The sequence below is a fragment of the Homo sapiens genome, chromosome 15, assembly GCF_000001405.40.
Source record: "Homo sapiens chromosome 15, GRCh38.p14 Primary Assembly".
NCBI lineage: Eukaryota > Metazoa > Chordata > Mammalia > Primates > Hominidae > Homo > Homo sapiens.
Genome location: NC_000015.10, coordinates 28,654,442 through 28,682,260, shown reverse-complemented (window position 1 = coordinate 28,682,260; position 27,819 = coordinate 28,654,442). Strand labels below are relative to the sequence as shown.

Genomic DNA, 27,819 nt, shown 5'->3' with positions numbered 1-27,819 from the left:
TTAAACCTAGGTTTGGTATTTTCCTGGGGTGATGGTGACTTTGGAAAATTGGGCCGGGGCGGAAGTGAAGGCTGCAACATTCCCCAGAACATTGAGAGACTAAATGGACAGGGGGTGTGCCAGATTGAGTGTGGAGCTCAGTTCCTACTGGCGCTCACCAAGTCTGGAGTGGTGTGGACATGGTACGTAAACGTCCTCCCCGTCACAGTGTGTGTGCTTGTGCCGGCGCGTGCAGGGAACTTGGGCCTCGCCCCAGGACCACCCCGGCGTGATTGTGACCTGTCATATTTTTACTTATGCATGCATCTTTGTCCTTTAAAGGATATTGAGTCGGGATTAGTGACAATAGTACAAGAAGAAATTTCCTATTGTAACTGGGTCATTTTGAAAATACTAGAAAAATTTTAGGCCACTTACCTTTCCTGTTTGGGCGAGATTTATAGGAAGTGTTTCTTCTGCTGAAGCCTAAGGATAAAATGAGAGCAAAATAGCCTTCTGAATCCTTTGATCCTGAGAAAGTTAACATGTATTTCTTGTAAAAGCTTATTATATTAATGTGCAAATGAGCAGGTGCCCAGACTGGCCTTGGATGCTGTGTCAGGCCTTGCTGCCTCTGGTCATAACATTGGCACTATTTATTTATTTATTTATTTATTTATTTATTTATTTATTTATTTATTTGAGATGGAGTCTCGCTCTGTCGCCCAGGCTGGAATGCAGTGGCACAATCTCAGCTCACTGCAAGCTCCGTCTCCCGGGTTCACGCCATTCTCCTGCCTCAGCCTCCCGAGTAGCTGGGACTACAGGCGTCTGCCACCATGCCCGGCTAATTTTTTTGTGTTTTTAGTAGAGATAGGGTTTCACCATGTTAGCCAGGATGGTCTCGATCTCCTGACCTTGTGATCCACCCGCCTCGGCCTCCCAAAGTGCTGGGATTACAGGCGTGAACCACTGCTACTGGCCGACATTGGCACTCTGAGAAAGATGTATACCAGATAGGACTTTGGATAGGTGTTTGCAGTAATGTGTCTTATTTTCAGTCTATATGAAAACCTACAACAGTAACTTAAATATTGTAGAACATGTATTAAGGTATTAAGGTTTTTCCCAGCTGACTTAATAAGTTAATTTGAATTAATGGTGTATGATTTTGAATACAAGTTCGAAGACCTTGGGTGCTGTGTGTGATGTCATTGAGCTGGCTGTGAAAGATGTGAGACAATGAGTGTCTTCTTGTATAGCATTGTCAGACCACAACTATATTGTAACACTCCACCACGGGCCTCCTTCTCAGGGGAAAGGGGGATTACTTCAGGTTGCGCCAGGGCTCTGACGTGCACGTGTGGAAACTGTAGGTGGTGGAAGGGCTGAGAGGGAAGAAGATCGTGCATGTGGCTGTCGGGGCCCTGCACTGCCTGGCGGTCACGGACTCGGGGCAGGTAAGGCTGCAGGTGGCCTGGGGGTGGCGTGCCATCCTGACTTGGGGGACGTGGGGGTCACGACATGGCCCTCGTCCTGTTGAAATCACAGCTGTTGATGAACTCAGCCGAGTCTTACTGCTTGAAGAACCATGAGGCCGGGACCCATCCGTTTTGCCCGCTGGTGTATCTGCCTGCTCAGCAGCAGGGGTTGGGGGTGGGGTCCTCAGAAAAGAGGCGTTCCCACTCTGAAGTCCACGTGAAAAGTGTGTGGAAAGATTGTTATCCTTTTTTTTTTTTTTTGAGACAGAGTCTCGCTCTGTCGCCCAGGCTGGAGTGCAGTGGCGCAATCTCGGCTCACTGCAAGTTCTGCCTCCTGGGTTCATGCCATTCTCCTGCCTCAGCCTCCCGAGTAGCTGGGACTACAGGCGCCCGCCACTACGCCCGGCTAATTTTTTGTATTTTTAGTAGAGACGGGGTTTCACCGTGGTCTCGATCTCCTGACCTCGTGATCCACCTGCCTCGGCCTCCCAAAGTGCTGGGATTACAGGCGTGAGCCACCGCACCCGGCCAAAAGATTGTTATTCTTGAAGATGCTCCTACTGCAAGGTATTAACAAGACTTTGCTTTAGGAAATTGCTAACTGGTGAGGAGGCACCCATGCCTCATTTTAGAGACAGAGCTAGTGCCTGACAAGTGTTACACTCTCTTCTGCTTGGAGAAGCATATGCTATGACCGGCTTGTGGATATTCAATTTAAAATTTTATTTATGAAAACAAAATTACCATTACTGTTTTTTAGTCAAAATGAATTATACTTTATAATTCTATAAGGCCAAGGAGCTACTTACTTGAAAAATGAGCATATTGTTTTTGGTCATTTTTCTTTGCAAAGTAAAAGGGAAAAAATTATTGCACTTAGTTGAAGAGAGGACCTTCTGTGTGACTTGCAACAAAGCAGAATTAATTTGATTAATATTAAGAAAATACTCCTTTTATGGTTATTGGCATTTTCATGGTTAGATTTTCTTCAGAATTATAGTACACCGATGCCATTTTGTAAGATTGTGAAATGGTTTGCTTTTACTTTTAAGAACTCAATTCTTTCAAATACCATGGCATACACGTTAAGCATTTTGAAGTAAAAATTACATTAAAGAAAATGTCCTGAAATGTTGAAAAATTATAAGCTTTTTTCTCCTCGTAAACAGGTGTATGCTTGGGGTGACAATGACCACGGCCAGCAGGGCAATGGCACGACCACGGTTAACAGGAAGCCCACGCTCGTGCAAGGCTTAGAAGGCCAGAAGATCATGTGTGTGGCTTGTGGGTCGTCCCACAGTGTGGCGTGGACAACTGTGGATGTGGCCACGCCCTCTGTCCACGAGCCCGTCCTCTTCCAGACTGCAAGAGACCCTTTAGGTGCTTCCTATTTAGGTAACACAGATTTGTATCCTGAGATTTTTCTGTAGGTTACAGCAACTTTACATTTATTTAATTGTGCCAACACATTAGAGGTTGTAGTGCTGCGTTAACTACATTATGAATCTAAAGACACAGAAGAATTATGGTGTGCTCTCATGCGATTTATGCTGCTGGAATGAAAGTTTTAGAAGAAAGTATGTTGCTGATTCTTGTGTTTATGATCAGGTAAACTCACAGCGCTGTCCTTGTGTGTGAACAGGACTCCTAATAACTGCCTGAGAGCTACAGGCACTGTACTGGGCTCTTTTGTATTTTTTAACAGCTTTATTCAGTTATAATTGACATATAATAAACTGCACCTATTTAAAGTATGCATTTTGATCGACTTTGGAATACGTATGATCCATGAAAGCATCAGCACAATCAAAGATAATGAACTCATACACTACCCCAGCGTTCCTCTCTGGCCCTCTGTACCCCTCCCTTTTGCTTTTACCTCCCTCCTTCCTGCCGTATGCACCAATTTAATTTCTGTCACTAGAGATCAGTTTGCATGTCTGCTTTTTGTTGTTGTTGTTTCGTGGGTGTTTTATTTGTTTGTTTTCTTTTTTTTTGTAGACCGGGTCTCACTCTGTTGCCCAGGCTGGAGTGCAGTGGCACGATCTTGGCTCACTGCAGCTTCCACCTCCTGGGCTCAAGTGATCCTCCCACCTTAGCCTCCCAAATAGCTGGGACTACAGGCACATGTCACCATGCCTGGCTAATTTTTGTTTGTTTGGTGGAGACATGGTTTTGCCATGTTGCTCAGGTTGGTCTGGAACTCCTGAGCTCAAGTGATCCTCCCACCTCGGCCTCCCAAAGTGCTGGGATTATGGGCAGGAGCCACTGTGGCAGGCCAGTTTGCATGTTTTACAGCTTACTATAAGTAGAATCATACAGCATATACTCTTTTTAAAAATCTTACTTTTTCCACTCAGCATAATAATTTTGAGATTCACTTACGTTGCATGTATCAATAGTTTATTCTTTTAAATTGTTGAATAGTATCTTAAGATAAACAAATGCAATTTGTTCATCCATTTTTCTGTTGATGAATGTTTGGGCTGTTTCCAGTTTTTGACTATGCAAGTGAAATTGCTAATGGACATTTCCATACAAGTTTGTGTATGGACATCCACTTGAAATTCTCTTGGGTAAACTTCTAAGAGAGGAGTGGTTGGATCATATGGTAGGTGTATGTCTAGCTTCTTAAGATCGCTACATACTGTTTTGCAAAGTGGATGTTCCAGAGGTCCACATCCTCCACATTTTTGTCAACCCTTGATACATTCAGTCTTTAATTTTAGTTATACTGACAGATGTATAGTGGTATCTCGTTGTGGTTTTAATCTGCATTTCCCTAATAACTAATGATCTCAAGCATCTTGCTTATTTACAAATCACATACCTTTTTTGGTGAATGTCTGTTCAAGTCTTTTCCCATATTTAAATAGGTTGTTTTCTTACTGGTTTGAGAGTTCCTTATATATTCTGAGTTACAAGTCCTTTGCCTAATATAGAATTTGCTAGTATTTTCTGTCAGTGTGGCTTGTCATTTTATTCTCTTCACAGGTGAATCTTAAAGATTAGAAGTTTTTAATTTTGATGAAGCCTAGTTTATTCATTTTATTCTTTTGTAGAGTGTACTTTTGATGTTGTGACTACAAAACCTTTGCCTCAAGATTATAAAGTTTGTCTTTCTATGTTCTGTTATAGAAGTTTTATAGTTTTAGACAGGTATATCTATGACCAGTTGATTAAATTTTATATATAGTGGGAGGTTCAGATTGAAAGGCTTTTTTGGGCATGATTGTCCAGTTGTTTCAGTTGTATTTGTTGAAAAACTACGCTTTTCCTACTGAATTGCCTTTTGCCTTTGTCAGAAATCAGTTGTCTATGGATGTATGGATCTATTTCTGGACTCCCAGTACTGTTTCATTGATTTATTTGTGTATTTTGGTGGCAATGCCACATTGTCTTGATTACTACAGCTTTATAAAAGGCCTGAACTCAGGTTGCAACAGTTTTTTAGCTTTGTTCTTTTTCAAATATATTTTGGCTGTTGCAGGCCCTTTGCATTTCCATATGACTTAAAATGAGCTTGTCAGTTTTTATAAAACCGCTTGCTTGGGATTTTGATGTGGATTGCATTAATTCTGTAAGTCAATGTGCAAGGATGGATTCACAGTATTCAGTCTTCTAACCCATGAACATAGTGTTTCTCTTTATTTGTTAGGTGTCCAGTACATAATGACACATGAAGAGGCAAAAAAAGTGACTAAAAATGACCAGAAATGATAGGAGAGAAACAGACCCACAAGGGCTCCATATATTGGAGTCAGAAGACACAGACTTTAGTATAATAAATATGCTTACTGTGTTCAAAAAGATAATATTTCAGCAGAGAACCAAAAACTACTGAAAATAAAATAGAAAGACTAGAACTGATAAATCCAATATTTAAAATTAAGAACTTAATGAGTAAGTTTAGAACACACTGAACTCAGCTGAAGAGAAAGTAAAAATATCTGGAATGAAGAACTGAGGAGCAAAAGTTTAGAAAACATAACAAGAAGGTAAAAGATCTGCAGGACAGAGGTTAGGCCTAACACAAGTGGAAGAAGAGTCCCCCCAAAAAGATAGAAAAGAGAATAGAGCAGAGGCAAAATGTGAAGAAATACTGAAAGACAGAATTTTCCAAAACAGACAACAGATATCATGCCCCAGAAGCCCTACCAACCCCAAGAAAGATAAACATCTCCATGCACATGTAAAACCTGTGCAAGATGAAAACAAAAAGACTCTCTGAAAAGCAGACGAAGGAAAAATAAAATGAACCACAATTAGACTTCCATCCAACTTCAGGAGAAATAATATAAACCAAATTGCAATGGAATACTATTTTTAAAGTGCTGAAAGAAAACACCTAGCAAAAAGACTTTTCAAAAATAAAGGAGAAATAAAGACATTTTCAGACATACAAAAATAGATAATTTGTAACCAACAAAGACACATTTTTAAAAATATTAAGGGGATTTTCAGGCAGGAGAAAAACAGTACAGATGGAAAATTAAAGAGGAAGAAAAAAGTGGAGAGAAATTACAAAGTATGCAGAAAAATCTAAATGAATATTGACTACATAAAATCGTCATATGCCCTGCATGTATTGTTTGATCCTTTGACTTGTTTTTTTGCTTTTTTTGTTTTTTGAGACGTAGTCTTGTTCTGTCGCCCAGGCTGGAGTGCAGTGGCACGATCTCGGCTCACTGCAAGCTCCGCCTCCTGGGTTCACGCCATTCTCCCGCCTCAGCCTCCCAAGTAGTTGGGACTACAGGTGCCCGCCAACACACCGGCTAATTTTTTGTACTTTTAGTAGAGACAGGGTTTCACCGCGTTAGCCAGGATGGTCTCGATCTCCTGAACTCCTGATTCACCTGCCTCGGCCTCCCAAAGTGCTGGGATTACAGGCATGGATCATGAGGTCAGGAGATCGAGACCATCTTGGCTAACACGGTGAAGCCCCATCTCTATTAAAAATACGAAAAATTAGCTTGGCATGGTGGCATGCGTCTGTAGTCCCAGCTACTCGGGAGGCTGAGGCGGGAGGAATGGCGAGAACCCAGGAGGCGGAGCTTGCAGTGAGCTGAGATCACGTGCCACTGCACTCCAGCCTGGGTGACAGAGCGAGACTCTGTCTCAAAAAACAAAAACAAAAACAAAAACAAAAACAGGCATGAGTCACTGCGCCTGGCTGATCCTTTGACTTTTTTTGAAATTTTGTTTGAGCATATGACCCACTTAGCATATGACTGGATTTTATGAACATTTTCTATGTGCATAAAAGAATGTCTTCGATAGTTCTGTTAGATATATATTTGTATAAAATGTATAAAATTTTGGCTGGACGTGGTGGCTCATGCACATAACCCCAGCACTTTGGGAGACTGAGGTGGGTGGATCGCCTGAGGTCAGGAGTTCAAGAGCAGCCTGGCCAGCATGGTGAAATCTCACCTCCACTAAAAATACAAAAATTAGCCAGGCGTGGTGGCAGGAGCCTATAATCCCAGCTACTCAGGAGGCTGATGCAGGAGAATCGCTTGAGCCCGGGAGGTGTCAGTTGCAGTGAGCCAGGATCGCGCCACTGCACTCCAGCCGGGGCGACAGAGTGAGACTCCGTCTCAAAAAAAAAAAAATTAAAAATTAAAATATGTTAAGAACATATAAATCAGAATGAAGATAAATGATGTTAAAGAGAACTAAGGTCTTTGCATTGTTTAGGAGGAGACTTTACTAAATAATAATAGATTTAAATCAGTCAAAAATAGATGTTATAATTAATATCTTCAGTAACTACTAAAACTAAAAATGTATATAACACATACACTCCTTATAGACAGAGTGAGACTCTGTCTCAAAAAAATAATAATTAAAAAAAAAAAGTAGAAAAGTTAGCTGAGCATGGTGGCACCGGCCTGTAATCCCAGCTGCTCAGCAGGCTGAGACAGGAGAACTGCTTGAACCCAGGAGGCGGAGGTTGCAGTGAGCCAAGATTGCGCCACTGCACTCCAGCCTGGGCAACAGAGTGAGACTCTATCTCACAAAGAAGAAAAGTGATATATGCATACAGTGGAATATTATTCAGCCATTAAAAAGGATGACGTTCTGACACATGCTACAATACGGATGAAGCTTGAAGACATTATGCTAAACACAAAAGGATAAATCTTACATGGTTCCATCTAGATGAGATGTCTGGAGTGGTCATATTCGTAGAGACCAAAGTTAGATTCAAGGTTACCAGGGTTGGGGTAAGGGGAAGTAGGGCAGTTAAATTGCTTAATGGGTACAGAGTTTCTGATCGGAGTGGTGAAAAGTTTTGGTAAGAGAAAGTTGTGATGGTTGTGCAACACTGTACTTAAGGTACTTAATACCCTGAATTATAAACTTAGAAAATGACTAAGTGGCTAATTTTAAGTTAAATATATTTTGCCACAATGAAAAATATAATAAAAGGTATACAAATTAAAACACTCACTCTCCATCTAACCAATTCCACATGCCACGCAACTAAACACTTACTAGTTTCTTGAGATTCTTTTAATGTTTCTTTATGGAAAAACAAGCAAACAAGCCTAGTTATTCTAATTCTTCCCCGATACCCCATCCTGATTTTTTTAAAAAGCCAGCCAGTCATCAGCGGGTAGGACCGTCACTTCCGTCTCACTGTACTCACTCTACAGAATTACCATATGCAAAGGAACCTTAAAATAACAAATTCCAGTACACTGTGGTCCACAATAAGTATTTCATTAATATTTGGTGGAAGAGAGAATATAAACATTCTGCCATACCTGGTTCATTTATTCTGCCAAATGTATGCCTGGTATTGTGTTTTTTGGTCTTGAAACACGTTTCACAAAAATCAAAGTCATCACAGTTTCTGCATTTGAATCTGGATCCATTGATAGGAAACATCTGACATCCATCACACCTATTTGTAAAATAGCAACTGAGTTAAGAAAGGTCATTTATTAAACTTAATTCAACAGAAAACCATTCGTCCCAAAGCAAATCTAGCAATCATAAAAATAACTCACGTAACCCCAGGATGAATACTGGGCACCAACTCCATTTCTGATAGCAACCCAGTCCAGTGAGACTGCTGGGGAAAGTCAACAATGATATCTTTTCCATTGGCACTGAAAGCCAGGACACAACAAAAATCACCTGATCCATCTTCCTCTTCACCAATAAAAACCTGAACTTAAAACTGCACCTAGCCATGTCATACTACATTGTAGTTATTTGTTTTTTACAAAGAGTCTATTTTTTAGAGATAGGTACTAAAATGCTTATGGATGAACTAATACATGATGTCAGCGCCTGGTTTCAAAATAATCACAAGAAGGGAGCATGAATAATTTTGGCCATGAGGCGACAATCGTTAAAGCCAGGTAATGAGCACATGGAGGTTCATTGTAAACTACATTCCTTACTTTTGCATTAGGTTTAAAATAGGACATTTTGGTTTCTAATTACACCAAGTCAACAATTCCATACAATACCTTTGGTATCTCAGGGAATAAAAACCACATTAATAACATGAAGACTTCTTTCATCCTTTGATAAGAGCAACGTGTCACTCAAAACAAAGAAACCAAATTCTTATTTTTAAAATTTGTCTTGTTTTGATTTGCAAATATTTTAACAATCTCTTAAGCAAAGAAAAATGTTTAAAGTAAAATATTAAATAATCCACTTGTTCTTATGTAACATGAGAAGCTCTAGGAACCTCTCACCACTGGGGAACCACCAACTGTGGCCATTTTCTAAGCGATCTGATGAAAAGAGAGGCTTCCACAAGGTTCAAACGAACAAACAAATAATCTCTTTATGCATCAAGAGTTTATAAAACTATACACATACTTATTTCTCATGCAACTGTTAAAACGGACATAGTGTGCCTTTCAAAGTGTGCCACGGATTTGATTTGGAATCTCAACAGTATCATATTAAATATAATCTGAGAATTGTTTCCAGTTCCTAATTTCCATCATTAGCACATTTCCATTTCTTAAATTCAGTCCTAAATTTTTATACAGCATGAAAAAGAGCCAGGCATGGTGGCTCACGCCTGTAATCCCAACACTTTGGGAGGCCGAGGTGGGCGGATCAATAGGTAAGGAGTTCGAGACCAGCCTGGCCAACATGGGGAAACGCCATCTCTATGAAAAATACAAAAATTAGCCAGGCACGGTGGTGGGCACCTGTAATCCCAGCTACTCTGGAGGCTGAGACTGGAGAACTGCTTAAACCCGGGGGCGGAGGTTGCAGTGAGCCAAGATGGCGCCACTGCACTCCAGCCTGAGGATCAGGGGAGGAGAAAGAAAAAGCAGTCCTGACAGTCAGGAGCTGGCCTGTTAATGTCAATGTTAGGCCATTTCACAGAACAAATGACAGGACAAGTTTACAGAACACGAACATCAGATAAGGCCACTCTGTGACTGATGAATCAAGGCACAACCAAAACCCCTCCTTAACCATGTGTGATTAAAGTTGAGTCTAATCCAAACCACAAACAACCACACAGTCCCCTATCCTGGTGATATGAATGACTGCTTCCTTACCAATCATGACGTTAGCATGGCTCCATTCTTTCTGCCTGCTAGGTAAATTTATTAAGACATCCTGTTTTAGGATTACCCCTGCTTTCTCGACCCCTCCCCCAAATACCCAACATAAACTTCATTAGTCCTCGCTCACTCCCTCTGATGGAGACACCCATTCCCCAAGGTGTGTGTTCTCCTGTACTGCAATGAGTTAATATTAATAAATCTGATTGTTTCACTGCAGGTGAGTTCCTTTGTGGCCTTTGGCAGAAGGCACTGACAAGCAAAGGAACACTCTATCTCTTTCTTCACACTTGTTTTCTGTTTTGTGTGCTTGAACAAAAAGAAATACTAAGTACATATGCATTAATGAAAAGTTAACATCAGGAATTTAATTACCCAGATGATATTACCTTTCACAACCCCCACACTCTGATGAGTCACAGATCCCCATTTGTATTTTGGTGTGGTGACAGAGGCTTTGACCCGCACTTTATCACCAATCTTGATGTGAGAAGAACTTCTTGGTGGAGGATAGCCTACAGATTTCAATAACAAATCATTATAATCAGTATTCATTTATGGGAATTCTGTCTCTAAGAAAAAGTAAAAGCACTAAACAAAGAATGTGCTCACCTATAAGTTCCACATGAATGTACCTAAACCAGTAGATGCCCCCTTTCTGCTGCCAGTCACACTGCACATTGAGATCATGCAATCCATCTCTGTCCAGCTTGATGACTTTGCCAACATCACATCACCTTCGCACACTTCTTCGTATGTTCGGCAGCATCTAACCATCATTCCCACCTAGAATTAAAATGAAATTGGAGATCCAGTCCATCATGTACACAGGTGAAATGAGCCATGATAAGTAGTATTACTCTACTCTTAATAAAGAATTTCAACTGGGCACGGTGGCTCACATCTGTAATCCTAGCACTTTGGGAGGCTGAGGTGGGAGGATCACTTGAGCTCAGGTGTTTGAGACAAACCTGGGCAACATGGCGAAACCCACCTCTACCAAAAATACAAAAATTAGCCAGATGTGATGGCACATGCCTGTGGTCCCAGCTACTTGGGAGACTTGAGTTGAGAGGATTGCTTGAGCCTGGAAGGTGGAGGTTACAATGAGCCAAGATCATACCACTGCACTCCAGCCTGAGTGACAAAGTAAGACCCTATCTCAAAAAAAAAAAAAAAAAAAAAAAAAAAAAAAAAAAAAAAGAATTTCATCTAGCACCCAGAGTGCATTCTAAGTATTATTTAATGATAAAGGGAAGAGAAACTCTTTAGAACACTGTCTGGCTTTGTGTCTCAGGCAGGAAATATACAGGAAGAGGCTGGATCAACTTGTATCATAAAGGAAGGGAGCTTTCAAAGATTACTCAAAAGGATTCCCTGATCATCAAAAATATAACAGTGGAGACATCACACCCTAAAAGCCAATGGATTGGTCATCATGATAATAAGGAAAACAAAGCTTCCTGGTCATCTTTATACATATCAGAACACCAATGCATCATTGTGAAAACTGGTGAAGTCTCCCTGTATTATCAAGAGCAACCAAGATTAATAACAAAGCTTTTTTTCACAGAAGAGAATTCCAGCTAATGAACTCAGAGAAGATGAAGTTAGAAAATCACTATGGTGCAGCCCCTAATGATAGGTCTAGGTGATGACACTAATGCCTGCTGGAGCTATGAGATGGACAATTAATACAGAATGTCATCAAGGAAGGAGCAGGCTGACAAGACCTAACCCACCCAAACCTGCTTGCCTGTTGAGATGGGGCCGGAGGGAGTACATGCCTATGAAGCTTCCTGCCTGAGATTCAGCCTGGTCCAATCACCCTCCAACCCTAACTCCTACTGCATTGGAGAAACAGGGAGAGAGGAAGATGTTAGCCACAAGGAAGCCACCTCCAAATGCAGACTGTAAGACATTTGGAGGACATGGTTTCAGCCACAAATAAATAGCATGAAAGGAGAGGAAGGGAGAAGGAGGGTTACTATGAAATGAATGTTTGTATCCCCCCCGCAAAATTCATGAAGTCCCGACTCCTAATGTGGCAGTATTAGGAGATGGGGCCTCTAAGGAAGTCATTAAGGTAAAATCAGGTCATAAGAGTGGGGCTCTGACACAACAGGATTAGGGTCTTTATAAGAAGAGACTCCAGGATGGGCATGGTGGCTCACGCCTATAATCCCAGCACTTTGGGAGGCCAAGGCAGGTGGATCACCTGAGGTCAAGAGTTCGAGACCAGCCTGACCAACATGAATAAACCCTGTCTCTACTAAAAATATAAAATTAACCAGGCATGTGGTGCATGTCTGTAATCCCAGATACTTGGGAGGCTGAGACAGGAGAATCGCTTGAACCCGGGAGGCAGAGGTTGTGGTGAGCCAAGATCGTGCCACTGCGTTCCAGCCTAGGCAACAAGAGCGAAACACCGTCTCAAAAAAAAAAAAAAAAAAAAAAAAAGACACCAGTGCTCCCCTGCTAGCTCCAGCTCCCCCCATCCCCAGCCCCACGTCCACAGGAGGACACAGCAAGAAGGCAGCCACCTGGCCGGGCACGGTGGCTCATGCCTATAATTCCAACACTTTGGGAGGCCAAGGCGGGCAGATCACGAGGTCAGGAGATCGAGACCATCCTGGCTAACATGGTGAAACCCCGTCTCTACTAAAAATACAAAAAAATTAGCTGAGCATGGTGGCGGGCACCTGTAGTCCCAGCTACTCAGGAGGCTGAGGCAGGAGAATGGCAGGAACCCGGGAGGCGGAGCTTGTAGTGAGCTGAGATCACGCCACTGCACTCCAGCCTGGGTGACAGAGCGAGACTCTGTCTCAAAAAAAAAAAAAAAAAAAAAAAAGGTAGCCACCTACAAGCCAGGAAGAGGGCCATCACCAGAATCCAGCCAAGCTGGTACCTTGATCTTGGATTTCCAGCCTCCAGAACCATGAGAAATAAATGTCTGTTGTTGAAGCTGCCAGTCTATGGTACTGTGTTATAGCCAACTGAGCTAAGACAAGGGGGAACCACTCTAGCTTGGAATAGACTTCAAAGATCCATCAACCAAATGTAGATAAGGCATACAATCTTGGTTTATCCAAGTTCAAAAACTAACCATTAAAGCCATTTCTGAGAAAACTGGAAAACTACAAGCAAGCGTTAGATATGAGATGATATTAAGGAATTATTATTTATTTTGTTAGGTAATGCTGGTAAACAGAAATGTCATTATGTTAAGATTCTTTATTAGTGATACTCACTGACATATATACAGGTGAAATGAGATGATTTGGGGGATTTTCTCTAAAATATACTAAAACAAGAGAATTAGGACAAGAAATGATTTAAAGTAGATAAAGGACTATATAAAACATAATTAGATTTTTAAAGTTTGATGGCAATGAGAATTACATAAGAAAAACAAGGAAAGGTATGTAGGAAGTGTCACAAGTGGGGCTAGTAGAAAACAGCCATCTCTGCGCCATGTCCACCGTGGACAGGCCACTTGTGCTCTCCGGCTGCCCCTGAGCCCATCTGCCCCTCTGTCCTCTGGCTACACCGGGGCAGCCACAGCAGCCTCTGTCTGGGTGCCCATCCTGCTCAGCCACCCTTCACACCCTGTAGGCTTTGCACCCATGTCACCTTCTCATTGCAGATCCCGATCCCTGGACTGTGCCCTCACTCCTACCCCTTTACTGTAGTCTGCTCTCTCTCATTCCAGGGTACACAGCACCTTCTAGTGTACCATGAGCTCACTGGTCAGGTATGTCTTCCAGCACCAGAAGGCAGGCTCCCTGAGGGCAGGGGCCTCTGTCCACTGATGTTTGGCATATAGGACATACCCAGATATTTGCTGAGTGAAAAACGGATCGAGGCTCCAGCTTAAGACAATTACTCACCTGAATATTCTCTCTCACATATACAGCATAATCATCATTACCCAAGAAACCAGCTCGGTTTTTGTACGTCTGGCTCTCCGTCACAACAGCACCAGTAGACTACAAGAAATAAATACATTCAAAGAAAAAAAAAAAGGAGAACTCAATAAATCTACTCAAAAAGAAATGTCTGTGAAATCTATAATATTAAAAAGTAAAGGATGAAATCCTTTATTTTCTCTATAAAAATCTTCATTTAAAAAAGACTAATAGCAGTAGCATAGTAGGCAGAAATGAATCTCAAAAGCTACAAGTATACAAAATTTCCAAGGCACTTCCAAATTAATCCTATGAACAATTTACTCAGGTCAGAAACTGATGTGTCAAAACATGGTATTTTAATAAAATATCCTCTAATGGCTAGCGAAGATCATGAGATGTTTGAACAAGGGTCTGTTCTGAAGCTAAAAGTAATTATGATATAGAAACCCAATCATCCCTTCAGTAGTGAAACACAGCTTTGTTCTGTGCCCGGCAACACCATAGGTTGGTTTTATGAAACAGTCCACAGTAGATATAGTTAATTCTTTCAAGGGACAGAGAAAGCCAAGGTGTAAGACTGTTAGAGCGCTAGACGGACAGCGGCCCAGGTGCGGGCGGTCACATGGGAGGCACTGACCATGGAGTAGGCGGCATCATCCACGTCCTCCACCACCTCCTCGTCAGAATACTCGTCGGACACCGTGTCTGCATCTGAGAGCTCCGTGACCTGTATGTCGGAGTGGTCCAGCAGCCACCCGACCAAGGCTTCCACACCTAAGAGAGGCACACACAGCACACCAGCCACTGTGAGTCAACAGCCCTGAAGCGGGAACCCACACACGTACAAGCAGAGGCCAGGAAAACGAAGTACCAGGCAAGCCGGACGCATTCCCGGAAGCACCAGTGAGAGACTTCAGGGCAAACTCGATGTTCCTTCTGGAAAATCCCATCTCCATGAGCTGCACCACGATCGGCAGAGCGGGAACGGGCGACTGCTTGCGCCTCTTCACTCTGGCAGGGCGGATGTGCTGCACGGCGACAGGCGTGGTGGCCTCACTGGAGCTGCAGTCTTCAAATCCTGGGCTCGAAGGGTGAGTGGACTCCACAGCCAAGCACTGGCAAACGGCCAGTGCAGCAGCCTGGGCAGACAAGAGGGTCCTGGGAGATTTGGGAAGTGCCCTCAGCTAGCTTACACAGTCTAGGAACACAGGGGTGATGGCCTTCTACTGTGAACTGCAGTATGCAAGTCTAGAAAGCCCGCATTCACATGTGTGTTTTTCAATGAGTTCCTAAAACATGTTAGAAAATGACAAAGCCAAGTTTCACGGTTTAATGCAGAGAAAATACGTGGGGGTAAAATAACTTGCCTGTTTCAGCAGACAGAGAGCCTACTAAATTAGCCAAGTATCAATGTCCATTAAGGAAAACTTCATTACAGCCCCAAGCGAACAGTCACAGGGGCTTGAAGGAGCAGGGAGAAAGGCATTCCCCCTGCCTTAACCAGGCACTGTGGTGGCGGCCACAGGCACCTGTGTTTTAGACAGGCCAGAAATGACACAGGACTCTCATGTACCATTAAAACAACCCTCAACTATTCAAGGGTTAAATAACCACAGTGAGGTTAAACAAGGTATTAAAAAGTAAGAGAAATAAAAGAGTATTAGTTGGGAAACACACTGCAATGAATCAGTGAACATCTAAACTGCCAGTCTCTGCAGCTGGGAACTCCCCACCTACAGCACAAATAGCACTTCCCTGATCTGTCTGTAACTCCCTGGTCCTCCTCCCCAGCTGCTCTCATAGCACTGACTTGCTATTTTGTTAAACGGAGCATGTGAGGAAGGAATCAGGAAGAAACCGAGGACACTGTGGAGCCCCCCGGTGCTCAGGAAGTATCAAAGCCTAGGGTTTTGCAGCGAAGTCTGGGTAACTTGGAAGTGACAGGTTTCATCCTAAAAGTTTAAAATTCAGAGCCAGATTGAGCCAAGAGTTCTGGTTCTGATAATGGGGAGTTAGGGTGCATTGGACTAACCCTTGGCTGATAATAATCATGAACTCTGGATAAAATATTTTTTAAAACTGCTTGAGGGCACTGGAGAACAGCTGACGCAATCAGCAATAAAACAAGCACAACCCCTGACACCGAGAAGCCTGCAGGTAAGACGCGCATTTAACCACAGACGGCGCACCTTCCTGCACTGCAGGGGCTGGGGTCCCGGCCTGCCAGAGCAACCAGAATGTGAGGGAAAGCCCGCCTGAGAAAGAAACCACAGAGGGAAAACCACGAAATATGCGGACGGACTACCCGCAAATCTACAGCTGAATCTAAACTGAAGCACCACTGAAGAGCCTGCGCTCGGCACAAAGGGACCGCTGGAAGGCTGCAGGGGCTCCCCAGCTGCCCAGGGCCAGGACAGCATCTGAGGCTCAAGCTCAACCAACTAGAGGTGGGGAGGAGAATGTCAAGGCTTCCAGTGACGCCCAGAAGAGATTCTAAATCCTTGAGAATTAAGGATCCACAACCAGGGCTAAGGGCAAATAAAAAATCATTAGAAAGCCTGGCACCAAGCCACCTCAGGATCAAGGAGGACTGCCAGGTACTGAACTGCCTGTGAGAAGAAAACTCCCCATTCTCCAGAGGAGGCAGAACCCAGAGCCAATACAATGTAGCGTCCAAAGAATCCAGAATGAAATAAAAATTCTCATATGTGAAGGACAACAACCAATAACTGACTATAATCAAGGGAAAAAAACTGCAAAGAGCAGCAGACCAACAGGTGGGCAGATGTTAGAATTAGCAAACAAGAAATTCAACATAACTATCAGAAATATGTTTTAAAATGTACAGCAAAAGATAGATTTGGCCAGGCACGGTGGCTCACACCTGTAATCCCAGCACTTTGGGAGGCTGAGGCGGGCAGATCATGAGGTCAGGAGTTCGAGACCAGCCTGGCCAACATGGTAAAACCCCATCTCTACTAAATATACAAAAATTAGCCAGGCATGGTGGCAGGCACCTGTAGTCCTAGCTACTCGGGAGGCTGAGGCAGGAGAATCACCTGAACCCAGGAGTCAGAGGTTGCAGTGAGCTGAGATCACGCCACTGCACTCCAGCCTGGTGACAGAGCAAGACTCCATCCAAAAAAAAAAAAAAAAAAAAAAAAAAAAAAAAGATAGACTTAAAGGATGAAGAAAGGAACTGTCAGAAGAGATATAAAACTATTAAATGAGAGCCAAATGGAAATAAGAGATGTGAGAAATATAAAATAAAGTATGTCTTGGATGGATATAACAACAGATTAGGCCCAACAAAGCAAAGCATCTTGACCTTTCAAACAGATCAAGACAAACTAACCAAGCTACTAACAAGGAGAAGAAAGACTTTCTATTAAAGTCATAAAAGGAAACTCACTAACAGTGTAACAGATGTATAATAGTATTTCCAGAAAAGAACAAAAAGAGCAAGGCAGGGGGAAAAAACAGCAGTCAAAAGTTTCCAAATTTGGTAGGGGAACAAAAATCAAGCCAAAGATGCAAGCAGCTTAAATAAATTTCAAGGAGGACGGTGGGGTGGGCGGGGTGTGCCACCATTGTATACATGAGCCCAGCTTAGGGAAACTGCAGAAAACCAAAGATAACACAAAATACGAAAAGCAACCAGAGAAAACAGACATTTCATACAAAAGAAGAGATAAGAACAACGACTCTCCATCGGAATCCATGGAGACAAAACAGCGGAAGGTCTTTTTTTGTACAACAGTCCTTCTCAGTTCCTGAAGAACAACTCTACACGGCCTTCTAGGTGTTCACACTCGGCATCTCCCAGCATGACTGCAGGGAGCACGTGCACCGCCCCACGTGCTCTCAAGTTGCTCAGCGTCTTTTGATCTCTGCCAGGGAGACTGGAAACACAACCAGGCCCTTTAAAATGAACCTTCACCTCGGAGGTTCCCAGACCTGAGAAGAAGCTGGAGTTCAGAAGAGCTCATGGCCAACCTCCTCCCTTCCTGCCCACACCCGTTTCTTGCTTTCTCCCTTTGCACCCCCACCATCTTTCCAGCTCGTTCTAGGACTGGGGGAGGCCTCCCACCTGTCCAAGGCAGTGGCTGCCTCATCTGGACCCTTGCTCCCAGAAGGGCCCTGCTATCTGAGGGTTTCTGTTAGGGTAATTTCTGATTGCCAAACTGAGTACTGATAGTTTTATTTTTGTCTCTGATATTTTGTCCAGATTTTTAATGTATTACACAGCAAGAAAGATTTTGGAATGAACATCTCTAATCCTCTATGTTGCCAGCCATGAAAGCTCCCATCCCTCTTACACTCAATCACGTCGCCTCCTCTATGCGAACGTCCCGTAGCCCTGACCCTGTGCCTCGCTGCTGCCCTCACCTGCTCCACAGCATGGAGAGAGCGGAGAGGCTGGCGGCACCAGAGCACCCCCAAGAGGCTCCTGAGTGAATGAAACAGACAAACGGCTGCCAGAGTCCTGACGAGCCTCTTTGAATAATTCTACTTCCTGGAAAAAGATCCCTTCATGAAGATGTGAGCGTTTAACCCATGCTGCATCTAGTTAATATTTTTTCACAATTTACACAAACCCAAAATAAGGTTAAACTTCAACCCTCTCAGTCTTTAGTATTATAATGTTCTGCAGACTATGCACAAACATGGTTAAACCCCAATGAATCATTAGAATTATTTGCGTACTATCATTTAACATTCAGAATAGATCCTTAAGAAAATATACATCTAGAAAAAAAGTGTTCACAATTTAGTGCTGTGGATTAAAAACTGTCAAGGCTGCATGGCTGTACCTCAAGTTCCTGTTTATCAAATATGGCCTTCACAGGAGACGGCTGGGTGGCCGAGGCCAGCAGCTGCTGCAAGAGGATCATGGGGGGCTGCGGCCCTTCAGGAGACATGTCCCCAAGGTCAGGTGATACCACTGCTCCATCATCTGAATTTAAAAACAAAATATGTGTAAGATTCTATTTTCAACTGCGAACACCACTTTACTATTAAAGAAAATGCATTAAGCATGTTAAATCAGGTATGACTTCTGCCTCATTATGTGATAGAAAACCAAAATCTTCAAGGTTCAGACATCGAACAAAAACTAGACTCTAGGTTGGGTGCGGTGGCTCACGCGTGTAATCCCTGCACTTTGGGAGGCCAAGGCGGGTGGATCACGAGGTCAGGAGATCGAGACCATCCTGGCTAACACAGTGAAACCTCATCTTTATTAAAAACACAAAAAAATTAGCCGGGCATGGTGGTGGGCACCTGTAGTCCCAGCTACTTGGGAGGCTGACACAGAAGAATGGCATGAACCTGGGAGGCGTAGCTTGCAGTGAGCCGAGATCACGCCACTGCACTCCAGCCTGGGCGACAGACCAAGACTCGGTCTCAAAAAAAAAAAAAAAAAAAAAAATTAGCTGGGCATGGTGGTGCGTGCCTGTAATCCCAGCTACTCGCAAGGCTAAGGCAGGAGAATTGCTTGAACCAGGGAGTTGGAGGTTGCAGTGAGCCAAGATCACGCCACTGCACTCCAGCCTGGCAACAGAGCGAGACTCCATCTCAAAAAAAAAAAAAAAAGGAACTAGACTCTAAACCACTTTCACTGCCTGCTTTTGGTCTCTGTCCTTCATTAGTGCATCTGTCTCTTAGAGCCAGCAAATGCTCCTTCCCAGATTTCTGCACTTGGTCTGATTCTTTCTCTTTTTCTTGAGATGGAGTCTCACTCTGTTGCCCAGGCTGGAGTGCAGTGGCACAATCTTGGCAAACTGCAACCTCTGCCTCCTGGCTCAAGCGATTCTCCTGCATCAGCCTTCCCTGTAGCTGGGACTACAGGCACATGCTACCACGCCTAGCTAATTTTTGTATTTTTAGTATAGATGGGGCCAGGCTGTTGATTAGATTTCACCATGTTGGCCAGGCTGGTCTCCAACTCCTGATCCACCCGCCTCGGCATCCCAAAGTGTTGGGATTACAGGCGTAAGCCACCATGCCTGACCTACACACTCTCTTTCATGTTCACTCACGGCTTCAGTAACCCCTGACACAGACACATCCCATGTGCATATTTCTAGCTGTAGCTTTTCCAGCTAAGCCTTGTTGAGATCATTAAGTGACCCCAATTCCAAATGTGTCATGTGCTCAGGGTGATGGCTTTTTGTCTGTTATGAGTAGCTTTAGGTGCAGCCTTTAGGACTCTGTTTGACACAGCCCCAGGGAGATCCACTGCGCTCAAGCCCACTTCACACATCTAGGTACTCATCCAGGTACTCACAGCATTTGCATGTGCTGGTTTTCTTCAGTGACAATTTCAACTAACTAGACCAGGAGCTGGAAATCTTTCTCTTAAAGGGCCAGAGAGTAAATAGTTTAGGCTGATGGGCTGTACAGTCTCTGTCCCAACTACTCAGCTCTGCCATTGCAGAGCAAAAGCATCCAGAGACGATCTGTAAACAAGTGGTGTGCCTGTGTTCCCATAAAAACTTACAAAAACAGGTGCACGGCAGTTTTGTCAATCTAGCTCTGTTCGGAGTCCCTGCTCGGCCCAAAGCACAGACTTGATCATCCTGATTCAGGTCTGCTGTAATTGCTCATCGGGCTGAGTGCAGAACAGAACAGCCAATCCAATTCCCAGGCTCCAATCTCCCAATCTCTACAACTGGGAAATCTTCATGTTCCCTACGACCTCTACTATTAATTGATTCTATACTTTCAATTGATTTCTTTCATCCTCAGCAGGTTTAAAATTAATTTCATAGCATCCTCTCCTCTTAAGAAGCAAACGCACACACTCCACATTCTACTGGACTTATTTGTTTCAAACACACTACTCAATATTCCTCCCTCAACTCAAGCTTGAAACAGCAGTCACCTTCCACTTTTTGCTGGTTCCCCATAAAGTTATCATCTACAAGACTACACCATCACAGTGGATGGCACCTTCCTTCCACCAGAACCTTCTTTCCCTTTTCATGCCTTCCCCCTCATCACCTGACGCAGGAGCAATTCTCCATCTCTGTCATCTCCTGTTTCAGATACTCCTATACCTTCCTAGCAGGTGTATCACCCGAAGGTCAATGCTTACCATGTGGCCCCTACCACAGCTTTCCAAGTGGGCCTCAAGTTTCACCCTGGTCTCCCAGGTACTCTGTAACAGGATGTCAGCTGCCCATCTAGCTTCAGCCCCACCACTCATCGAAAAACCCTGAGCTCCAAGAAGAGGAGAGCTGCTCAACGTGCTTCCAAAGACTCACCACGTTCACTCCTCTCCTCCTGCCTCCACCACCAGCAGAGTGCTTGTCTGCTGGCATCTGTCTGCCACAGCCTTCAAAGGCTGCCCGTCCAGTGCTCAGCTGCCACTGGCTCCAGACGCCTGTGGAACCACTCACATGCCTCACCGCCCCCTGGCCCCAGAGAACAAAGAGAGCCATCTGCATTCACTTCCTCTCCTCATCCAAACCCTAGAGAGCAATGATCATAGAAAAGGACTTCTCCGCAAAAGACTTAGCATAATGTCTTTCAATAGTTGGAGATCAAAAAATGTTTTTTTCTATTAAAAGTAACACAAGCTCATTCTAGAAAACTAAATATAGAGAAATATAAAGAAAATAAAGACAGCCAAAATTCCACCAAAGATTACTGGGTCACTGTTTTGCTAAACAGATAACTATGGCATATCTATAAACGGATATACATAGCAGTGTGCTTTTCTGTTCACTTATTGTTTTCATGTTTCCACAGCAATAAACATATACAGCTAGCCCTCCGTATCCATGGGTTCTGCATCCAAAGATTCAACAAACCACACATCAAAAATATTCAGAATAAAACAATTTTTTAAAATATAATTTTAAAAAGAATAGCAATAACAACTATTTACATATCATTTATTTTATTTTATTTTTATTTATTTATTTATTTTTTTGAGACAGAGTCTCGCTCTGTCACCCAGGCTGGAGTGCAGTGGCATGATCTCGGCTCACTGCAAGCTCCGCCTCCTGGGTTCATGCCATTCTCCTGCCTCAGCCTCCCAAGTAGCTGGGACTACTGGCACCCGTCACCACGCCCAGCTAATTTTTTGTATTTTTAGTAGAGATGGAGTTTCACCGTGTTAGCCAGGATGGTCTCAATCTCCTGACCTCGTGATCTGCCCACCTCAGCCTCCCAAAGTGCTGGGATTACAGGCGTGAGCCACCGCACCCAGCCTATATATCATTTATATTTTTAAAGTATTTCGGAGGATGTGCATAGGTTATATGCAAATACTACACCATTTTATAGAAGGGCCTTAAGCATTAGTGAATTCTGGTATAACTGGGGGTCTTGGAACTCATCCCCATGGATATTGAGGGAAGACTATACATGTACCATCATTTTGAATGGCACCATGATATCACACTGTACGGATACACAACATAAGAATGGGTATTTTGGTGTCTACAGTTTTTCAATACAAAAACAATACCAAAAAGGAGGCCATAACGACACTGTTGAATACATTATTTTTATTTATTATTTTTTTTGAGACGAAGTCTCACTCTGTCACCCAGGCTGGAGTGCAGTGGCACAATCTGCACCCTGCAATCCGCACACACGGCAACCTCCGCAACCCCCGGTTCAAGTGATTCTCCTGCCTCAGCCTCCCAAGTAGCTGGCATTACATGCAGCCACCACTATGCCCCGCCAATTTTTTTTTTTTTTTTTTTTGAGACAGAGTCTTGCTCTGTTGCCCAGGCTGGAGTGCAGTGGCGCCATCTCGGCTCACTGCAAGCTCCGCCTCACAGATTCATGCCATTCTCCTGCCTCACCCTCCCGAGTAGCTAGAACTGCAGGCGTCTGCCACCTTGCCCAGCTAATGTTTTGTATTTTTAGCAGAGATGGGGTTTCACCGTGTTAGCCAGGATGGTCTCTATCTCCTGACCTCGTGATCCGCCCGCCTCGGCCTCCCAAAGTGCTGGGATTACAGGCATGAGCCACTGTGCCCAGGTGGTGAATACATTATCTTTACATGCCTTTTCGTGTGATAAAGTCCCACAGAATGACTTGCTGGGCCAAAGTATATAAATACATACATACATCTATGCATTTCAAAGTCCAACTCATTTCCTCAGATGCCCATTAGATGGCTACACCAACTGAAATTCCCAGCAGCAGCGTGTTCATGGAGTGCGGCTTTACGCGCATTTGAAGAACCAGCTTAGGTTCATCTTGTTACAATACAGGCTCTATTTCTTTGGTCTGGGGTGCGGCCTGGGAGTCTGCATTTCTAACACATACCTGTGTGCCACCAGTCTTGCTGACCCATGCAGCACACTTTAAATGGAAAGGCATGAAAATACCTTTTTCCCTCCCCACCCACCAGATGCCCTCAGTCTTGTCTTATAAGATGACGATGACAATTTTATTCACAGTTGGTGGTTGCTGGGCAGGCCACGTGTCTGTTTTGTACATTTATAAGCCACCTATGTCCATTTTTATGAACTGATTATTCACTTCCTTTGTCTACTTTCTACTGCCCTTCTTATAAAGATTTAAGAACTTTTTAAAAAGACACCTGTGTGAACACTTCCAGTCTCCTGAACAGCTGGCTGAGACAGGATCTGCCGCAGTTTATCCTGGTGGGAGAACAGCGCCCGACCTGCTTTCAGGATGTATAGCTTCAACTGCTGGCACCGCAGCAGGTCCAGGTCCACTTGTCCTGCGGAAGGAAAGACTCAGTGAGAAGGGCGTGCCCTGCTCAGACTCCCTCCTCGCCAGCAGCAAGCCTCCGCCACATGGCGACGAGTAACGCTCTGCCCTTCAGGAATCTGCCGACCGCACACACTGTCCGTGACGAAGGGCTTGCCTTTCCCAGAGTTACACTCGGTGCTTCTGGGTAAGCATCTTCTGCCTCCTGGGTCTTCCTTCCCTGCTCTCCAGGCACCTAACTTGATAGGACGCAGGATTCAATGGGTTTAACACGGTTAGAACCATGTTAGCTACTATTAATATGATCAAATGTTCCCCAAGTTGCTGAAGTTTCAGCCGCTTCCACTCTTCTTCTAAGACTCCTCTGAGAGAATCTGTCAGCCCCACTAGCTCTTTAACTGATGAAGATCGCAGCAATGCCCAAGGCTTATCTGATAGCAGAGGCCGCAGAAGCAGCACAGAGAGCATGGGGTGGGAAGGAAGGAGGGCCGCAGGTGCCGCTCGGACACTGGCTCAACTAACTGGCAGACAGGTTTATTCACCACGATGGGAAACGGCAGCTACTAGAGAAAGCCAGCTGAATTTCGGACATGTGGTGATTTGCATGCACTGCACCTCCAACCAGAGATGTGAATGGGAGATCCAGAGTTGAAAGTGCTTACATCATATATGCTGAAGCAGCAATCGTAGGTCTGTGGGAGCAAGAGGGGAGAAAACTCAAGAAGACTGGGCAGAATATGCCATAGTTATGGGTGAAGCCACACAGACTTCCAGGACATAAAGAATGAGCAGAGAGAAGAGCTCCCTAGAAACATGGAAACAAACTCAGGAGAGCCGCATTCTAGACCCGAAGGAAGGCAAAGCCAAGCCAGGCTACAGTCACAGTCTTAGCCATCCTGAATGTCACAGGCAAGCCAGGCGCTTCCGGGACAGAGGCCCCTGGATCCGGCAGAGAACAGGCTGTGAGCCATGGTCCAACAGGGTGACGGGGCCACAGGGCCCTGGGATGGAGGGGAGGAGGGAAGAGGTGAACAGACTTCTCTTCCGGGATAAAGGGTGACACGGAGAAGAGGGTGTGAGCCATGGGGTTCTTCAAGTGTGGCTCCGAACATGGCGACAAAGGCTGACTCGAAAATACTCATTACCACGAACACAGGGTTACATTCCCAACCGCAACTCAACAAATGGTGAGCCCACGTGAACCCCAGGACTTTGGTATGTCCGTGAATTCACTCATAAAAGAACACTGTACAAACGACACGAGTTTAAGATGGCAGCTATTTCATCAAGAAGCGCCATGTACTGACCTGCAAAGGCCTGTTTAGTCGATTTCTTTATTTTGTGCTTTTCTAACTTGCTTCCAGCGAGGTTCACCAACTGAGCCCAGACAGACAGCATGGGCTCTGTGAAGGGCAGGTTGTTCACATTAAAGGCCACGGCAGGGAGCTGGAGAGGACACAGAAGCTGTCAGAGTGTGGCCAATATGACTAACAAATGAAACGTTCTGAAAGTCATCAAAACCATGGGCTTAATCCTGAAATGCCACACATACCCGTAAGCCTTTTTATAGCTGAGAATAATCATTTTTTAAAATGACATTAAAGGCAGGATAGAGATTTACACATATAATAAGTATAATCTATATTAATTTTTCTTTACAAACCTGTCAACAATAATTACATCAGTGTGGTGGTTACTATCTTCTCAGATATTTTCTATATACTTCAAGTTTTCTACAACATGTATATATTCCTATAATAATAAAAAAGAGTGCTTTATAGAAAATATAGTCAGGCCGGGCACGGTGGCTCATGCCTGTAATCCCAGCACTTTGGGAGGCCGAGGCGGGCGGATCACCTGAGGTCAGGAGTTTGAGACCAGCCCGGCCAACATAGTGAAACCCCCATCTCTACTAAAAATACAAAATTAGCCAGGCGTGGTGGCACACACCGTAATCCCAGCCACTCAGGAGGCTGAGGCAGGAGAATCGCTTGAACCCGGGAGGCAAAGGTTGCAGAGGGCCGACAACATTGTGCCATTGCACTCCAGCCTGGGTGACAAGAGCAAGACTCCATCTCAAAACAAAAAAGAAAAAGAATATATAGTAAGATTGCACTTGGGTTACATCAGAATAATGTAAATGGCTCCTTCTCCCTGTGCATCCTTGATTCACAGATTAAGATGACAGTAGCTGCTACATTAAGTCACGTCACTCAAAACTACTAAGCATTTTCTACATGAAGAAAGGCTGTTTTTTTAAAGGTGTTTAAACATGTTTGTTTTTTTAAAACTTGAGTTGTTGAATAAAAAGTAAACTTCATAAATTCACATTTTAAAATAATTAGAACTACCTCATAGATGCACGGTACCTTCTAGGTTGCTAAAGCCCTCTTCGTGTCTCTGAGGCTGAAATACACACGAACCACTGCTTTAAGTGCCCTGTGAGACAGGCCCTGCTTACCACAGAAGCACAAGCTCACACAGCTTCCTGGAAGGCAAACTTCAAGTACCAGAATCAAGTTCTTTCAAGTGCTGATGTTGGTGCTCGGTTCTAGTGTAAAGTCAATTTCCCTTATCATGCAGTAACTAAGCACAAGTTCACCTACTGGTTTCAGCTGATTCAATGGGCAAACGCGACACGTCCGCATGTCAGAGAACTGCACGGTGATTTTGCCCTTCAGGGTGATGCGAGTCATGGTGACTTCTCCAAAGTCATCGTGCACAACTTGGCCACCCAGGCGCAGGCGACCATCGATGCCTCCAACCACAGCCAGGACCGCCATGAGGCCCCCCACTTCAGGGTTCTCGGAGTCGGGGAAGTAGTCCTCTAACTGGGCCTAGTGCAGACCAAACAGCGAGCTCGACCGGGGACACTCACGGAGCTGCCCAATCCCTACAGGTTTACTGTTCAACTAAATTAATTCTGAGAACACAAACCCACCCCTTCGGAAGGCCTTCCCGCAAAGCTGTGGGTGATGGAGCGGAGCTGGGAGTTGATGTACTTGTTGATGAGCCCATTCCACTGAGTCAGGGAGTGCAGCGTGTGCAGCAGTGCCACCACCTCCTCCACCAGTGTGCTGCTGTGGGTGGCAGTCAGCGAGGCCTGCGGGCACACCCTGCGCCACCTCAGCATGGACTCTGAGGAGGAAACCAGGGGAGAAGCTGCTGCACCGCTCTTCACCAGGGCACAGGGAAAGGAGACGGCCACTCACCTCTGAGTAACGGCACGTCAGAGGAGCACATAGTGAGCAAGCTCCCCAAGAAGTCAAACAGCTTCTCCACGAGGCATTTCATGTCCCTCGCCCTTTCGGTCTTGTCCCATGACGGAAGGACTGCTTGCAACAAATGCACAGCTAAGATCTGATAAAAGAAAATTTACAATGACAAGCATTAAAAAAAATCTGATGAGGAAACTACAGATTGTTATTTTCTTTTTTTTTTTTTTTTTGAGACAGAGTCTCGCACTGTCGCCCAGGCTGGAGTGCAGTGGCACGGTCTTGGCTCACTACAACCACCACCTCCCAGGTTCAAGCGATTCTCCTTGCTTCAGCTTCCTGAGTAGCTGGGATTATAGGCACTCACCACCAAGCCCGGCTCATTTTTTTTGGATTTTCAGTAGAGACAGGATTTCACTATGTTGGCCAGGCTGGTCTCAAACTCCTGACCTCATGATACACCTGCCTCTGCCTCCCAAAGTGCTGGGATTACAGGCATGAGCCACTGCGCCCAGCCTCTCTTTATTTTCTGTTCTCATAATGCAAGTAATCATGTGAAAATTTTGAGATTCATTATTTTACAGCCAGGTAATTACACTCAAGTTGATTAGTGATTAGGATTGTCAGGGACTTTAGAAAAAAGCAACATTACAGATGCATGTGTTTAATTAAAAAAGAATTATTTTTAGTTTAATTCTTAAGACAATTACACTACAAATTCTGTGAAGCAGATGAGTAAGTAGTTGCAGGATTTACCACTTAAGAGAAAAGCAGGTAAACTGAAGGTTAGCAACTTACCAATTATCAAGGACCTCTGCCCCTTGCCTCCAGAAAATCTACCCTGTCACTTCTAGACCCTTTCTGCACTCGTTACTGAATAAAGGCCCCTGACTCTGAGGGCAGGGAACTTCAGTACATGGAGGCCTCTCTCAGGGAACTGGTTTTGCCTGGCAGCACATTACCTGCCTCTGCAGCG

General features: G+C 44.2%; 2 pseudogenes across 1 annotated transcript in view, besides 2 other annotated features; one reads left to right on the top strand and one right to left on the bottom strand.

Moving 5' to 3' along the window:
- Window positions 1–27,819, bottom strand: part of HERC2P9 (HERC2 pseudogene 9) — a 30,823-nt pseudogene extending 3,004 nt beyond the window's left edge. The window contains exons 1-13 of the transcript NR_036443.1: window positions 27,806–27,819; window positions 26,841–26,988; window positions 26,235–26,465; window positions 24,936–25,074; window positions 23,495–23,638; window positions 18,741–18,883; window positions 14,798–15,065; window positions 14,564–14,700; window positions 13,906–14,004; window positions 10,628–10,801; window positions 10,405–10,530; window positions 8,234–8,373; window positions 418–465 (exon numbers count right to left, since the gene is read on the bottom strand). The product of NR_036443.1 is annotated as an HERC2 pseudogene 9 (transcript). The remainder of the gene's footprint in view (window positions 1–417; window positions 466–8,233; window positions 8,374–10,404; window positions 10,531–10,627; window positions 10,802–13,905; window positions 14,005–14,563; window positions 14,701–14,797; window positions 15,066–18,740; window positions 18,884–23,494; window positions 23,639–24,935; window positions 25,075–26,234; window positions 26,466–26,840; window positions 26,989–27,805) is intronic.
- On the top strand, window positions 9–2,856 carry LOC100419574 (HECT and RLD domain containing E3 ubiquitin protein ligase 2 pseudogene; annotated as a pseudogene).
- Window positions 15,710–16,210: an enhancer, noted in NCBI's record as "H3K4me1 hESC enhancer chr15:28911197-28911697 (GRCh37/hg19 assembly coordinates)". NCBI's record gives its function as "activates a minimal SCP1, AML or CMV promoter by ChIP-STARR-seq in primed H9 embryonic stem cells {active_cell/tissue: H9 hESC(primed)}" and the evidence as "EXISTENCE:reporter gene assay evidence [ECO:0000049][PMID:30033119]".
- Window positions 21,221–21,721: an enhancer, noted in NCBI's record as "OCT4-NANOG-H3K4me1 hESC enhancer chr15:28905686-28906186 (GRCh37/hg19 assembly coordinates)". NCBI's record gives its function as "activates a minimal SCP1, AML or CMV promoter by ChIP-STARR-seq in naive H9 embryonic stem cells {active_cell/tissue: H9 hESC(naive)}" and the evidence as "EXISTENCE:reporter gene assay evidence [ECO:0000049][PMID:30033119]".